General features: G+C 52.6%; 1 protein-coding gene across 9 annotated transcripts in view; it reads left to right on the top strand.

Annotated features, from left to right (window-relative positions):
* TRABD2B (TraB domain containing 2B) overlaps positions 1–10708 on the top strand; it is a 236858-nt gene extending 226150 nt beyond the window's left edge. For 8 of the 9 annotated variants that reach the window (XM_024446935.2, XM_024446933.2, XM_017001261.3 and 5 more), the window contains one exon: positions 5130–10708. In XM_024446935.2, the coding sequence (XP_024302703.1) occupies positions 5130–5334 (205 nt within the window). In that variant the 3' untranslated portion in view covers positions 5335–10708. The remainder of the gene's footprint in view (positions 1–5129) is intronic. The other variant, XM_017001262.3, reaches the window with a different exon arrangement.
* Positions 10709–17360: the final 6652 nt, after the last annotated feature.

The raw sequence follows: 17360 nt of genomic DNA, 5'->3' as shown, positions 1-17360 counted from the left end.
GGGGAAGAGACGCAGTGTCTCCCTCCTGCCCCCAGATTCTCCAGCTCCAGTTCCCCATAGCACAGCCAGTCCTCCTTCTGGGATGGTTCGAGATGGGCAGAGTCTCCAGGTGAGGACAGGACCCCATCAGATTAGAGGCAGAAGATGACCCCATCAGATTCGAGGTAGAAGATGCCCCCATGAGAATGAGAAGCAGGATCATCCAATGAATAAAAACAGACAAATTCAGGCAGAATGGGGTTCAAATCCAGTCCCCCCTTTTACTTACTTTGAGGCTTAGAGATTATGTGAGATGATGCTCGTAAGCTTTAAGCTGGCATCAGACCACCAGTAACACTCGGTAACAGTTGCAGCTGGTATTGACACCTGTGACTTTCAGAGTCTCTGGTCTGAGATGACCAGCCCCCTACCCTAGCAGAAAGGGCCTTTGGCCAAACCCTTAAATGAGGCATTGGTTGGGTGCTGTGAACTTCCCCCAGTTTGACAGGAACATATTGGGCACATACTGCATTTAGTGCTAGTGAGGGACAGGAAGAGGAAAAGTCTCGTGTCATGGCCAGGGACAGATGGCTTCCAGTGTGGTGCCACTGAAGAGCCCTGGAGCCACAGTCCAGAGACCCTGCCTCAGCTCTCCTGAGTGATCTTGGTAAGTCCCGTTTCCTCTCTGGGCCCAGTTTCCCATCTGAGGGACAGACAGGCCCTTCCAGCTATGGTCTGCTATGAAGCTATTAGAAAACAAGCCTGTCTGCCCTGTGCCCAAGATGGAATTGATCAGTCATGGCCCAGTGAGGCTGAGCAAAGCGTGAAGGCATTCCCAGCACAGAAGACCATGTGGACAAAGGTGTGGAGGCGGGAGGAGCCCTAGATATCACAAAGTCCTAGATACCCAGAGCCGCAGGCAAACCAGTTGCTTTGGATCTCTCATCCGACCTGCTTGGCCCAGAGAGGCTGAGGCCCAGACTGGCATCACAACAGGGTCTCTGCTAAGTGATCACAGTGAGATCTCTATCCCCAGGCAGAGGGCCACCTGTGACCCAGGCCCTGTGTGCCCCAAATCCGGTCTCCTCAGGCTGAAAAGCTCTCTAAGGAGGTCAGTCAGGGTACAGCCCACCAGCCCCTTGTACCGGCAAGAAGGCTTGGGATGCCCAGATCCTAGACTGGGATGGCTCTCAGAGACCCTCTAGTGCCAAGACCCACCCCTGCTCCAGGGAGCCCCTTGGAGGTGCCTCATGGTCAGACAGCTGACAGTGTCTCAGACACACACAGCCTTGCTTTCTGCCTTGGGCTTCCACCTAAGATCTCGCTCTGGCTTCTGCTGCTAGTAAACATTTTAAAGTCCACGGGTCTGTTCCTGTTCATTGTGTTGATGGGGAAACCGAGGTCTAGAGGATAGCACTTGCCAAAGTCACACAGCAAGCCAGGAACGCACTACAGGCTAGAGCCAGGCTTCTGCCTTCTGCCCAAGCAGAGGGCCTCTTCCCCACTTTGGGGTCCCTGTTGACTCAGAGCCGATGCGGCCTCTTGGTGCCAGCCATCTGTGGAGCCTGGGAACACTTGCAGTGTTTGGTTTGGCTTTGAGGCCACTTTGCCATGAGACAGTTTCCCCCATTGTGAGCCTAGGAAGGGGTGGGGATCTGGACTGGGGGACTGAGCTTTGTGAGCAGAATCAGGCCCAGGAGGTGGGCTGGGGGCATTTGGAGGGGCTTGTCCTCCACACCCCCCACCCACCAGTCCTGCCCCATTTCTCTGGGACTCCTGCCAAGCAATAAAAAGCCCACTCAGGCTCCAAGCGGGAGTTTTCATCTTTGGTTTTCAAAGTGTGAAAGAAAATGCCTTTGGGCACCTTGTGAGACATAGTATTCATAACTCCTACTTGGTCTCGCCTTCTGATGGTGGGGGCCCCAGCTCCGGGCACCTCAAGGGGCACACCAGCCTGCTGTCCTGAAGCCAGCCCACCAAACCAACAGTTCCTCAGGCTGAAAGGATGGGGCAGCAGCTAGGAGGACGTTTTTATGGACTTCTTGTGTTTTGTATGTGGGTTTCTTTTTTTTTATTTTTGTTTTTGTTTTCATTAGAAAAGAAAGGGAGGAAAGGGGCTGAGGTAATGATCCCTGCCCGGCACAGGCACTAATCCCCTCCAGGGGCTGAGGCCAGATGAGGCCTCAGTGTCCCCGCCTGGCAAGCCTCCATCTGCGGGTTTGAGAGATCTCAGCCGGAAGCACCCACGCTTCGCTCATGGGCTCTCCATCAGGGGTTTGCTCATCTGTTCATTCAGGGACGGCTCCTTGGCCTGTCTCAGGCTGGGGAGACACTGTCTCTTGCAAGAAATCTGAAGTCCTTCAAGCTCAGTTTCCACACCTTAGAAAGGGGAATAATAATAACATAACACGTGTATAGCACCAAGCAATGTATGTCAGCACATTGTAAGTGCTCTATAAGTGGAAGGTGTTATTATTAGGAGAGACACAGACACAAAAATATTAATAATGATGCTAAAAATAGCCAACCTCTTCTAGCACTTCTTGTGTGCCAGGCACTGTTCAAAGCACGTTACATATAGAAACCCATGCAAACTACGTATAATAAATGGAGACCTACAACACAGAGAGGTCAATGAGAAATGTACAAGGTTTGGGAGAAGCCTTAACTGCCCCAAGTGGCATTGAGGGATGGAAGGCAGATCAAAGAAGCCCTCCAGGGGAAGGGCATTGAGTCTGGCCTTCGAAGGTGAGTAGGAAAATGGCAGCAAGACTGTAGGTGTGATGGAGAGGGTGGTATGTGTTGAGAGAACCATGAAAGGGGAGGGCAGTCAGGCCAGATCAGGCCGGCATGGGGTGGGAGGCACAACATGCTTGATTCTGTGGGTGTGTAAGGGACATTGGAAGCCACCTGGCCCTCCCCCCCCACTTCCACACACACACACTCTACTCAGAAACGCCATCCCTGCATCCTCTGGGTGGAACAAGAGTTTGCTCCCTCCCCTCCTGATAGTTCCTTGGAGTCTCTCTAAAGACAGAAGATCATGGCACATCACACCAGGTTGAAAGGAACCTTATGCAACTGCAGGGGGTGCTGAAGGCCAGAGCATCACCGGAAGAAAGTAAAGGGAGAGAGGGATGGGGCAGTGAGTGAGGACCCCTCTCTTTAATGACATACGTCAAGCCAGGACAGAGTGCCAGAGGCCGTTTGGACACCTGCTCCCAAGCCAAGAGCCCATGTGGAGTCAGGATATGCTTGGTGGCCCCGGGTTCCCTCCCCTGCCCACCTGGCCTAGCTGAAGCTGAGCCAGGGCTATGTGAGAGGCGTCTGGCCAGGACGGTGGCCTGGACTTAGTTCTGGTGGTGGTGATTACAGGCTGTCACCACTGTGATTATGGCCAGCTGTTAGGACCTCACGGCCCAGCCCGAGGAAATGCAGCCCGGAGTGACCCAGGGCAGCCTGTCGAGGTGGGGCAAGCAGTGGGAAGCGTGGCAGGAAGGCACGCATGCTGCAGACCCCATGAAGCCTGCCCTGCCCTGTTTCTACAGCCTACCCTCTAGGCTGGCCAGCCCAAAGGGAAGGGCAAGCTTCTTGCCCACCCATCTGCTATTGAGCACCTACTGTGTGCCCAGTTCAGATCCTGGCCCTGTTTTGTGTCTTGGAGGAAAGCCACTTAACCGCTTTGTGCCTCAGTTTCTTCCTAAGTACAATGGGGACAGCAGTCATCCCTGCCTCCCAGTGTTGTCATGAGGTCCAAAGGTTAAAGAGTGGCCAGTGCTTCACACAGAGCCTGGTGCAGGGGCAGGGCTCTGTACGTTCTTTTTTCACCGTCCAGGAGTGCCCTCCCCATGCTCAAACTAAATTCACTATGCCTTTCAGGCTGACTGTGGCCTCCCTGCTTCCGGGAGGCCCTCATGGCCTTCCCTTCATCTACCTGCTGCCCCCCGGTGCTCCCCTCTGGGTGACGGGGCTTGTGGGCTCCTCTGTCTGCATCTGCATCTCTGTCTGCCTCCTGCCTGCTCAGGGTTCCTCGAGGATAGGCATGGCCATTACTTCAGGGCCCAGCCTGTTTCTCTATCCCAGAGCCTGTCCCTCTCGTCCACAGGTCTCCTGTCAGCCTCCTGACCTCTCTGCTAGGCCTCTGTAGTTGTGCACTCCCTCCTCAGTCCCTGTGTTAGCCTCTGTCTCTCTCTGCCTGTCCATTTCCTATGTCTCTTTCCTGGACCTGAGCCAGTAACCTGGCCCTGAGTACCCCCTGCCCCCGCCTCCAGCTTCCCAAGGCCACCGTGTGCTGGGCTCAGGTCAGCTTCCAGTTGGCTCCTGCCCTGACTCTCCTTCCATCTCTCTCTGTCACGTGGGCTTTCTTGAGCCAAGAATCTCACCTGTTATTTCCAAAACTAGATTCTGTTTTTGTAAATTCGTGAAAGACTGCACCTCTCACTAAACATATCCTGCAACTGTGCAAAGTAAGGCAGACCCAGGGCTCCTGCTTCATGGCGTCCCACTCCCACTTTCCTCTGGGACCTGACCACCAGGTAGCCTCCCCGCCAGCCACCACACAGCCTCTCTGAGCCTCAGTTTTCTCATTCATGGAAAGGGAGCAATGAGACCCATTTTGAAGGCTTGTTATGAGGATCAGAAATATTGCTTGGAAAGTGCTGAGCTCATGATGGATGCTCAACAAGCGGTAGTTATGATAATGGCAGGGAACGCGGTGGGGTTGCTTGTCTTGTTTTCTGCGTGTTTTGGCGGTCTGCAAGGGGAGAGCAGCCAGCAGGCAGGGCACCTGTGTACGTCGATGACTGACCACCCCATGGTACCCCAGATCTATCTCCCCAAAACACTATTCTTTCTGCCTGGGACCCATTCTCTCGAGTGGTGACATCTGAGTGGCTGAGATGTGACAACCTGTGGCTGCCAGGGCCTGGCCCATCCCCCAGAGCCCGGCAAAGGGGGTCCGTGTGGACTCTGGAGCTCAGCCAGGCTGGTTGTGTGGCTCTGGGCTGCCCGGTTTGCCTGCTCAAGCTCCTTGTTCCCTTCTCCATTGTATTAGGCAAAATAGACCTGAAAAAATCAGATCTGAGCCCCAAGGCTTCTGCCCAGGACGAGGCTGCCGATGGTGACTCTGCCATGTGCTTCCTCCTTTCCAGCACCACCGCCTCACCACCCCCGCTGCCCCTGCAGCCCACCCACAGCTCGGGGACCGCCAAGCCCCCCTTCCAGCTTTCAGACCAGCTACAACAGCAGGACCCGCCAGGGCCCGCCAGCAGCTCGGCACCCACCCTGGGCCTTCTCCCCGCCATCGCCACCACCATCGCTGTCTGCTTCCTGCTGCATAGCCTTGGGCCCTCCTGACCTCGGCCACCCCAAGTGGAGAAGCCAGAGAAATGACACAGGGGTCTTCGGCCACACCCAACTGCTCCTGCCACCACCTCCAGGGGGTGCCCAACACGTCGAGGGCAGTCCACATGGGATTGGCTAGACACTCTAGAGCTTTACTGTACCCAAGTTACATCTTCTTTTTTGTAGAAGGATCTTAATTTCCCATAGTGCTATGGGGCTCTTTTGTAAAATACGTGTCCATATTAAAAAAGAAAAATGTATTTATTCTACCGATAAAACTATTCTTATGTGGCCTGTGTTATAACCCCCTAGCCCTAGTGCTGGCCCGGGAGGGGAACCCGGGACATCAGTGACCTCCTGTGGACTGTGGCTCTGGACTGGCTTGCTCTTGGATCACCGAAGCCTCCTGGGTCTGGGTTTGGCTTCTCCGACTGTGGGGCCCTCAGCAGGAGGGGCAGGCAGGCAGGCTTAGCCTTTGTGAAGCTGGATTTGGGAGCCAGAGGTGTGAACGTTGGCCATCCTCCCCTCTGCTGGATGCACCCGCGGCCTGGGAAGATAATTTAGGAAAGAGAATGCTGCTATTGTGAAACCCCTGAGTGTCTATCTGGCCCTCCAGAGCTCTTGGTAAGTGTTTTCAACCAAAGCGCTGGGGTGGGGTGGGAGGTGGGATACTGGTGCTGAGGAAAGCAGTCCCCACCCCACAGAACAAATGAATAAACTGAGATCCAGAGAGAACCAGGTGGGTAGCCCAAGGTCACACGGCAAGTGGGAGAGTGAGGACATAAATCCAGACCTCTCTGTTCTGGTGTCATGAATCCAGCTTGGGTTAAAGGAGAGGCTGTTGAAGTCCTGGCTAAATGGATTGAGCTGGGCCGAGGGACTGGAGTGGGCACAGGAGGGCAGTTTTAGAGACAGGGGCTTAGGCCTCACATGATGTTAATAGTAATGAGAGCTGCCATTTTTCCAAAGCCTGCAGCGTGGCAAGCACTTTGCACACTTGCTTCACTGATTCTTGCGCTAGTTCTGTGAGATGTGACTATCCCCATTTCACAGATGAGGAAACTGAGCCCCCCAAAGAGGCGAAGGGACTTGCTGAAGATCCCCCAGCCAGGATGTGGCCCCAGATCAGTGTGATGCAAAACAATTCCTGCCTCCTGTTCCCTGTTCTGCCACGTTCTCTCTGCAAGGGAGCAGATCTCACCCAAACTGGGGCCAGCACAAGCTTTCACTCCACCAAGAAACCTTTTGGCCGGCTGCTTATGTTGACCCCTCTGGCCAAAGGGCTCTGGCAACTGCATGTGCCATGTGTCGCATGTCCTGACTTGCCAGATCTTGGAGCCCACGAGAAGCTTTCCTGCCAAATCAAAGGCTGAGAGGTGGGCACAGCTGTGGGGCACCTGGGGAGGCACAGCAGCCAAGTGGGGAGGCAGGTGACAGGGACTCCGAGAGACTTTAGCCCCTCGGCTCCTCAAGGTGGTGGTTGAGGAGACAGAGGACCCAGGTGGGCTAACTCCCACCTGGGAGGCCTGAAACCCTATGGGGCAGGTGCCTCAGTAATTACAGAGTCCTGGAACCTGACAGCAGAAAGGACCCTTCACTTGATGGATAATAGTAACAGTAGGAGGAATAATAAGGCCCACAGAGAGGAGACACTTCTCCAAGGCTGCACAGCCGGGTGGGCCTGCTGACTCCCAGCCCAGTGCACCCCAACTTTATAGCTTCGTGGGTTTCCCTGGCAGGCTTGATGGCAGCTAATTGGCCCCAGTGCCATCTTGCCCAGCTTGGCAGCTATCTCCCTTCTGAGACGGCAAGTTCTGGGCAGCTCATGGGATGGTCAGGAGTCCCACGGGCATCTTGGCAGGCAGCTGAATTCTTTACAGCTCAGCCCTGATGGACGTGTTTGAGCTTGAGACCTGGCAGGAGACTGGAGCTCTGCCTTAGAGGGCCCAGCCAGCCCTGTGGGCACCATGCTCTAAACTGAACTTGACCTCAATCCAGGCTGGAGTTGGTTTATCCTTGGCAAAAATGTGACTTCCTATTTCTGAGCGGGAAGGGGCTTAGCTGACTTATAAAGCAGGCTCAGAAGTTGGACATCAAACGGATCGTGCAGTGCACTATTTGGATGAGATAAGTGTAAAGGAATTAGAAGCACACAGGCCAGATTCCTCTCTGTTTGGGGCAGAGTATGGCGTGAGACGTATTGAGATGGAGCTTGAGGTTAATTAAAGATGAAGCATTTGGGTAAACAGTCCAGGCACCTGACCGTGTGCCCAGATCTGTGCCAGGCACTGAGCCAAGAAGGTAAATTAATGCAGCTTGTAATTACTGAGCACATGCAATGCCAGGCTCTGTATTAGAGCTGAATCTAACCACTCTCCTTGGCCCAGAGGAACTCATTATCAAGATGGGACAAGCAGTGCAATGCTAGATTACGTCGTCCTGGCCCCTAACTTCAGGAAGATTCAGCCTTAGTCTTTCCCAGATCCCTCCTCTGGGCATATTAGGGGATCCTAAACTCTCCCTTACCCTAATTCAAGTGTTTAAAGAAAGATGGCTAGACTAACCGATGGAGTAGACATGTACCTACAGGAGAGCAAGAGCCAATGTGGTCAGACATCTGTTGCCAAAGTTCACTGATCTCTGAGGACCACCAGCTGGCCAGGGTCTGAAATGAACTCAACTTGCTGACTTATGACCCAAAAGACTTGAGGCACATATGCAGGAATCTGCATGTCTGGGGCACTTGAATTCTCTCATCCTGGGCCAGAGAACCACCATTCCATAAGCAGCAACCCACACCTTTGACACGATCTATCCACCACTAACTGACATTTCTTCCAGAAACGTTCTTTGTGCCCAGCCTCATAAAATGCTCCTGTTGCTCTGAGAAATTTGTGTGCACTTCTTAGACTTTTCTGTTTGACTGTGAGGCAGGCAGGAAAGATGAAAGGTCTGAGACCCAGCAGGTAAAGTGATCTGCTTAAGGTCGGGCAGCATGTTATTGTGGCCCTGGGTCCTCTACCTCTCACGAAAGCTGACTGTGTGATGAAGGGCTCTCTGGGGCATGTTGGAATGGCCATGTCCCCAGGTCTTCCTCCAGTGGTGGGTCTGATGCACCAGCAGCCAGATGAAGACAGGGAGAGCCCTGTCATCCACAGTGGAGGGAGAAGAATCAGGCTGCCAGGGAGCTGCAAAGGGCTGCTGAGGATGCCTCCAGTCCTGAGAGTCAAAGATCTGGGATCTAGGAAGCATGGAACCTTGTGCTGGTTATGAACAAATTTGTCCTTGCATTGAAAGACCCTAAGCATATTTTCTTCATGCTAAATAATGTGTTATCTACAACTTCCTGGCCTCGGCTAGACCTGGACAAGCCTAGGTGCTCAGGCCCCTTGTCCCACTTGCCTAATCTCCAGCCCAGGGCCATTGTCACAGTGGATCCCAAAGAGGAGGGAAAGTCCTTCTACCAAAAGGAAAGTCTATTGAAAATGCTGTGAAGGACAAGAGAAGTTCTCCAGGGAATTGCAGCTTTGATGGCATCCTGTGTGGCAGACAGCAGAATTGGGGCTGGTGATAGTTTTTCAGTGACTGTGAGATAAGAACCAGAGTCCTCAGCCTCACCCTGAAGTGTCCGCTAGACCCTTCGTGACCCAACCCTGCTGACCAGCCACGTCTCTCATGTCTCTTACCCTGTGCCTGGCCAGCGTGATGTGCAGTCATCTCTAGAATAGACAGGATGTTTCACACATGCTGCTCCCTACCCCTGGAAACTCCCTTCTCTCCCCTGTAACTGCTCATCCATTGAGGATCAACACAGATAGCACTTCCTCCAGGAAGCCCCCTCCCATTCCTTTGTGCTTTCTTAGCATCTATCACAATACCCACTGCCCAGTGTTGTGACTATCTAGTGTGTATCTGCTCCTCTCGGACTGTGAGCAGCTTAATGGCAGGGGTCATGTAAATTTGTTTTTGTACCCTCATCTGACACAAAGGTGGTGCTCAACAGATGTGTAGAGAGAGAAAGGAAGGGAAGGAAGCTGAAGGAAGGGGAGGAAGAAAGGAATGAAGGCAGAAAAGAAGGAGAGAGGCAGACCTTAGTTCCACCAGTGGCATAATTTCCACCAAGCCAAAGCTGTCTGGGGATGGCCCGGAGCCCCCAAGGGTGGCAGGTTTCCCATCGGGAGAGGTGTTTGAGCAGGGGCAGTGTGCCCACTGGCTGAAGAAGTGGTAGGAGAGTTGACATCTTGCCAAGGGCCTGGTGTAGATGACATTGAGGGTCCCTCCTGGCTCTGCAATGATCAAGTTCTATGAACATTGTTATTTTTCCAGAAATTCATCTGAGCAGCCAAAAAAAATCACCCCGCTGGCTGTCTAAACCAGTAAGGTTCAGGAATAAGTCCAGCCTCCCCACTCCACCCACAACCACCACCACCCCTCACAGCGCCCCCTTCAATGACCCAGCTGGGCTTGACTGCTGCCTTTGGGTGGGGGAACTTCTGAAAGGTGGAGGAGGAGTGAACTGGAACCCAGGCCTGCAGCCCAGCCCAGAGCTCCTTCCCGCTCTGCCCCACTCCCTGACCCCAGGGGAGGAAAGGGTTCACGAGAACTGATTGACCCCCTACTTGGCTCTTTCCAGGGAGCATCGGCTATCCTCACCCTTTCTCCAAGTGGGAGCTGGGCTCTTCCTTTCCGGAGATACTCTGGATACTCCTTCACTTTGCTGGATGACCTTGGGCAAGTTCCTGTCCCTCTCTGAGCCTTCACTTCCTCATCTGTCAAATGAAGACCTTGATTCCTGCCTGGGCAGTTCTAGGGCTGGAGGGCAGGGGTGACATGGACAATCTTGGGCCTCCATGGAGATGAGGTGCTTGGCTTTCTTCCCAGGACCCACAGGCTGCCATGGGATTGAAAGCATGTGGAGGTGGGAAAGGTGACAGAGTAGCATGCCTCCAAGGCCCCCTTCATCCCAGTCCTGCTGTGGGGAAAGTGGGCTTTGAACGGGATCCAAGTCTAAGATGTTTCCGGTGAGCTGCCAGGGACAAAGGGCTCTCAGACATCTTGGGTCCCCAGTGGCTGGGGTGGGCAGGGGCTGATTCAGCCAAAGGAGGCTCTAGCCCAGAACAGAGGAAGCCAGAGCCCCTGCCCCATTCTTGAGCCTCACAGAGCTTGTCCCCGAGTTGATTCACTGTGCAACACAGGCTTCAGATTCATGTATTTGAAAGGTATTCATGATGTTGTTCTCTTATCACCTCTGCCCCTCACCTCTGTGAATTATCATGAAGAGTCCTTTAAGAGTATAAATAGAAGACAAAGAAAGATGCTATTAATGTTATTTTGCCAAAAATATTTTTGTAGCATAATATATTAATAAAAGATATTATGAATTCAATGGCTTAGTGTTTCTGTGTGACAGCTCCTCTCTTCCTGCCAGGGAACGTTCAGGAAAATTGCCTTTGCTGTGAGGGCCAAGGCCTGCAGTGAAGCAGAGGAGTTGGAATGAGCCCGGTTTTCATGCACAGAATCGGGCAGACTTTGGGAGGATGGTTTCAGCAGGAACCCAATGGCTTGAGAGGCCTCATGCCAAATGAGGTCCAGATACCCTCTCCCCAGCCAGATTGAGCTGCCCAACGATGTGGAGAAGGAGCTGCTCGGGGACTTTAAACACAGCTCAAATCTGGGGCTCAGGCTTGCAGTCTCCCTTTTTTTTTGCCTTTCTCACTCACCAAGACCTACTGATTCTTCCCGATCAGCTCTTCCTACACACTCCCTCATCCCCATTGCTCCACCCTGGTCCAGACCTTTTACCTGAGCCCCTGCCACCTAGCCAGGCCCCTCCAGTCCACTCTTCCTTCGGCAGCCAGAGAGCGCTGTCAACCAACAAAAATGACCACATATCTCCCCTGCTTTGAAAATTCTTCAGTGTCTCCTCGAGGTTGACAAAGGTTACACAAGGCCCTCTAAGATCTGGTCCCTGCCCATGCCTCCTACAAGAAAGCCGCGCCTTGCCAAGTCTTCCCCCAGCATTCCACACTCCAGAGTTACTGCCAGCCTCAGTGTTTTCTAACTCCATCCCCCGCTTCACCACCCGCCACCTCTGCACTTGCTGTTTCCACAGCACTGCCAGTCTTTCCTCTTTATGCCTCACCCATTGCTCTGTTGAACTCCTACACATCCTGCACAACCCAGCTCCAGTGGTATCTGTTGCACAGAGACTTCCCCAACTCCCCAAGCCATGCCTCCCCTCTGATCCTACAGCTCGCTGTTCCTCGGAGCACTTAAGGTTGTGCTGAGATGATCTGTAGTGCCCACTCTGCCCCTTGGCTTCCTCGTGCCAGGGCCACGGGTTGCCTCTCTGTGAAGTCAGCCTCAGCACAGTCGTTTATGTATGCCATATAGACACTATATATAGTGGGGACTTGTGGAAGAATGATGGAGTAAACAAAGAGGAAAGAAAGAAGGGAAGACTTCAAATACAACATGTCATATCTGTTCTATCACAGCACAACATACCGTCCAGTGTCAGCTGACTGGGAACCACACAAGGTATTCCTGCAGCAAGTTTCACCGGGAGAGACTTAGTCACTGGAATTGCGGGGAAGGAGGGACAGGTCACTGAGAAGTTTAGAGAGGAAGAGGACTCTATTCTAAAGCCCCAGAAGCCTCTACCAGAGGTGATTTATTGCCCATGGTTACTGAGTTCTTTTGGTTCCTACTAAGAGGAATATGGACTCCACACAGTGGCCTCACCTGCACATAGGGTGACAAGAATGCAACTGGAAGCTAACATTTGTTGAGCATTTATGATGCATGAGACAATGTTCTAGGCATTTATAAATACTAAATCATTTCACTCACGTGGCTGCTCTTCCTTATCTCCGTCTACTGATGAAGCAACTGAGACACAGGAAGGTTAAGTAACCCAACACAGTTTATAAATGCTGAAGCCAGGCTGGGAACCCAAGTAGTCCAGCTCCAGGCCTATTCTCATTTTTATCCGGCAATTCCGCGATGTCAGGTGTGGGCTGCGGCCTGCGAGGTGGGCGAGGATGCATCCAGCATCCACATTTCACAGGCGGGGGACAAAGTCAGGAAGCGACTGAGGCCCAACACAGTGAGCCTCTTCCATGTCCAGGAGCCTGCCCAGACCTCTGTCCCACTCATCAGACTCTGGGCAGAGATCCAGAGAAGCCCTGCCCCACTCCCCACCACACCCGATGATGGTCTTAAGAGCTGACGTCAATGGTGTGAGGATTCCTGCTGTGGCTGTGACCCCTGTCCTCTCTGCCCCTCACACACAGGAAGGAGGCTGCTGTCATCCATCCACCCAGAAGTTCGGTGAGCGAATGAGGTCTTGTCCTTTCTTAGGGGCGGTAGTGCCCAGCTCACTTACTCCCTGGAGAGGCCGTGGCCCAGAAATAGGCTCTCAGACATGACGCAATGGGTGGCTGAGGGAGGGGCGAGGGATTCCTCAGAGCTCCTGACACACTGTTCTCCGTACGGCAGCAGGTCTTCACTCCCTCTCCATCTTTCTGCATTCTCTGAGGCCTTTCTGTCCCTGAACATCTAGGGTTCAACAGCCTAGCCCTTCAGAGGAACCATCGGACAATGATGTCCTGCAGCAGCCGGACTCTTGAGATGAGGACAACGGGTGCTGGGTTTCAGTCCCAGCTCAGCTGGCCCGCTGTGTGACCTTGGGCAAGCTCTGCCATTCTTGGACCTCTGTCTCCTTATCTGCATAGAAAGAGCAAAAAGTGGAGCAAATTGTAGTCACTAAAATTCCTTTTAGAAAGAGCAGCATCTTTCTTTGAAAGACTGCTTCTATCAGGGCTTGAGGTAGGAAGGAAAACCACTGTCTCCCACCTCAAAGGAGGTAGAGAGAAGGTATTCTTTATGACTGGGGTAGGAATTTTATCATTTTACTCCTGAAAAGGAGAGCAGGAGACAGAGGAAATCAAGAGAGAAGGATGAGAAGTCAGGAGCTAGGCAAATGGAGAGAAAGTGAAGGAGGAGGAACATCTCGTTGATGGGGAGAAAACCTGCCAACAGCAGTCATTTTCACAGTGGCCATAAGAACCCCACCCCCATCTGCTCTGCCAGTCTCCACTAGGTCCTCATGGCCTGTGAAGATTTGGGACGGAGCGGGGTGGTACCATGGAAGGGGCTGATTGCCCCCAAGTAGACATGGGGTAAAGCAGAGGCTGCAAGCTGGAGACCAAGATCACAAGTGTGTGAGCCCCAGGGAGCCCATGCACTCTGGGAGGGCTTGGAACCTCAGCCACAGAGTAGGGTGCCAAGAGTGTCTTAACCAGGTACTTTGCAGTAGCAATACTGGGTTACAGGTAGCTGGGAATAACAAGTTTAGACCTGCCAGCCTTGGGCTTTCATGAGGTAAGGGACTTGGGAGCTGCAGGGCTCTCTCAGGCAGGCAAGAAACCCCCCACCTCACAACTACCTTCTAGGGGTGCTGCAGCAGAGGGAGCACCCTGGCCTAGCCAGCAGGACAGAATGAAGGCTGGGATGGGCTGGGCTTGGAGGGGAGGAGGTAGGGGCTCCAGCTGCTGCTCATAGCAGCCGCCAGCCAGGGGAGCTGGGCTGGCCACTGTTACGGTATCGCAAAATGAAATTATTTTCAGAAAATATTCGTAAAATCTTGTTTCATATCAGTTGGTTCTGGGCTTGCAAAACAGTTCCTGGTTTGTTTTGTTGTTGTTGTTTTGTTTTTTCTTAGTTTTCATTTCTTCCTCCCTGATCAGCCACAAAAAAACAGTGATAAAATTCCCAACCTGAAGACACAAGTTCCCAGGCAAGGAAGGGTTGGGGACTTGCAGGTCCCCAGACATCCCTTCCCAGTGTTCCCTCACCTCTGCTGCCCTGAGACCCAAGAGGGGGACAAGGGGGCTGAGCAGGATGGTGACCAAGGGTGGGGACGAAGAGTGAAGGAGAAGATAAGCAAAAGAGACAAAAACACATAGAAAGATGGATGGAGAGAGAGTGAAGACACAGTAGGAGACAGCAACAGAGAAGCAGAGAGAGGCAGAGAGAAAGGGGGAGAATGAAAGGGAGTCATCGGAAGAAGCCTGGATGGGGAGGCAGAAAAACACAGACGAGCATGGGTGGAAACAGAGAGAGGCAGGACTGGCTGGAGTCAGAACACAGCAGGGTCTCAGCAAGAGGGAGGAGGCCTGGTTCAGATCCACAGCACAGGCTGGGGCCTGGCTTGAGGGGCCAAGACAGACGGGCCACTGGAGACAGCTCCTGGGTCCAGCAGTCTTCCTGCTCCCGGGGAGACCTGAAAACACAGATTGCTTCCAGGGCCAGCCAGTCTCCCCGCATTCAGCCTCTCACCCTTCACCCCGTCCCAGAGGTTGTCCCGGCTCAGTCGGGGTCTTGGGCTTATGGTCAGGGGGAGCCAGAGTCCTGGACCTGCTTTTGCGCCAGGTAGTCCCTCCCTTCTCTCAGCCTCGTTTTTCTCATCTCTATGGTGAGTTTAATAAAACTAATTCTGGCACAGGCTGCAGTGAGGTTTTAATGAGATGGTGGATGTAAGAAAGCTTTGGAAACCAAGGCCCAGAGCACGTGTTAGCTGTTACTGCCACCCCCACAGGCAGCAGAGACCAGCAGCACAGGTGGAGGGCTGGCCTCAGAGTGCCCAGGCTCCAAGTGGCAGCAGAGGGGATACTCTCTGGAGCTGGTGGAATCAGGCTTTAGAGGCTGTGACTCACAGGTCAAGGCATGAGGACACCACCCGGTGGGCAGCAGGAGCCCCAGGCAGCTTAAGAACAGAGGAGTGGCATAGAGGTCGAGGAAAAGCCTGATGCCCTGGGGCCATCTCCTCCTCCCATTGAATCTCAGTTTTCCCATCAATAAAATGGGAGAGGATAGCCTCACCCCACAGAGATACCGTGAGGATTTAGGATAAGGCAGGTTTGCCTGTGCTCGTAGACTCCAAGAGCTTTGTGGTGGTGATGATGATGAAGATGAGGGAGGACGGTATTTCCTGAGCCCCACCTCCCCCTATGCCCCTTGCCCGATCCCAGGGACAGAATGACCCATGAAGTCATGTGGTCCCAGGGACTTTCCTCAGTGATGGTGGGTGGTCATGGGAGGGCACTGGAAGCACTACTGGGAGTCCCCTGGGAAGGGACTGACTCTGCTGAGTTGCCCACCCCTCTGCTCTGGAGCCATACCCAAAGACAGACACTGAAGCTTGGGCCAACCTCTGCTTGGACTTGGAAGGTGGTACTGGTAGGGGGATTGGACTTGGAAGGTGCTACTGTCTCTCCTGCCATCCAGCAGCTGCCACCAGGGGGCAGTGCTACTCAGGTCGTGACCTCAGGCTCTAAACAGGTGACCTGACGGAACAAGGCAGGAAAGTGGGAGCTGGAGGGGACATGATTCTTCTGTGGGCTCAGGCCCCTCACTGAACAGATAAGGGGAACACCAAGAGATGGACCCACCCAAGGCCTCTTGGCATGTGCGAGTCGGAGGCCAACCCAGGAGTCCAGACTCCCAGGCCCCCCTTCTGGCCTCAGCACACTGGCTCACCTAGATACAGAGAACTGGCCCAAAGAGTCCAGTTCACCTTGGGTCCAAAAGCCTTCCACATCCCAAACCTGAGCCTGCAGGGTGCCAGGCCCAACTAGAGAAATGCAGAGCCTGCAGCTCGGTGGGGGAGGCAGACACTGAGTAGCATCCATCAAGTATGTGATGGTTACCATAGTACTGGGGACCTTCCTCAAGAAGTTAAAATTAATATGGAATGTGCATTTGCTTCCTCTCCCCCTCCCTTCCCCTCCCAGCAGTGCTCCCTCACAGGCCCTCTACAGTTTGCCCAACGAATCTCTCCAGACATGTGTCTCCTCCCCTCCCCTAAAACCATGCTCCAGCCATAGAGAGCTACTCGGGCTCCCTGAACGTATCTGCAATTTCCCAACTCCATCTCCATCCCCACTGTCCCTTCCACAGCTAGCTGCTCATTCCCCCTATTTTCACCTGAAAACTTCTTTCCTGGTATTCAAGGCCTCACTTAATTTGTGCTTCCTCGTAGAAGCGTGCTCTGGTCCCCCGGGCTCACACTTCCACCTCTCCTGAAGCCCCAGCCTTTGTATGCATCCAGTCTTAGATGATGGGTTTCGTATGGCTTATCACCCTTAGAATATGATAAAGGGAAAGCCGTGCATGCAGAGCCCAGGTCATATTCATTTTTCCATCCCCTGGATGAATAGTCTTTAAAATAGAGGACACGTGGTCAACATTTATTGCATTAATTTTAAGTCTGAAGACTAAGCATCATCCAAGGTTAGTATTAAATTATGTTCATCAAAAGCAAAACTGAGAGAAATCCAAACATCTAGGTACAATAGAGGTCTGAGCCTTCCCTCTTTCATGCCTGGCTTCTCAGAGAAAATCTCCAAATTAGTGTTTTTCAGCAGGGGTAGTATCAACACCCATAGGATGCTTTGGGAATTCGTCGGGGAGTTTTTGGCTTTCATACAGCTGTTGCAGGGGCGGGGTGGTGCGGGGGTAGTTGTGGTCAAGGGCTAGCGACACTTAGTGACCTGCTAAGAGCCCCACATAAAGAATTATCCCCCATCCTGCAAAATTTTTGCATGTTTTGCCAAACATTCATTAGGGGAGAAAAAAAAATCATTTGTAATTATCTGAGCCTAGAACCTGAATCCATTTTACGTAAACACGTAGTATTTGTTTGTAAAGGTTTAATGTGCACTAAATCTTACAGGAATGTAATTGCCATGTATATTGAGAGAAGAATGTGCTTCATTTTGTTCTGAACTTTACCAAGAGTTGTTCACTATTTTTGAGTGCCACCTTACTAACAACAATGCCTGTGTATTCCGGGTGTCAGAGAGACACACAGCTGTACTCCTTGGTATTTTAGCTGTCACTTTCAGGGTGACTCAACAGTTAGGTACAAGCTTTGACTATTACATTATGTCTACAAGTGTTGATGTACCCAAGTGTGGACAAACCAAATTACATATTATTTTATTATAAGCTACTATTTCTTTTTCCTTATAGTT

Source organism: Homo sapiens, chromosome 1, assembly GCF_000001405.40.
Source record: "Homo sapiens chromosome 1, GRCh38.p14 Primary Assembly".
In the NCBI taxonomy this organism is placed as follows: domain Eukaryota; kingdom Metazoa; phylum Chordata; class Mammalia; order Primates; family Hominidae; genus Homo; species Homo sapiens.
Note: the sequence above shows the minus strand (reverse complement) of the source record. Positions and strands in the feature narration are given on the sequence as shown.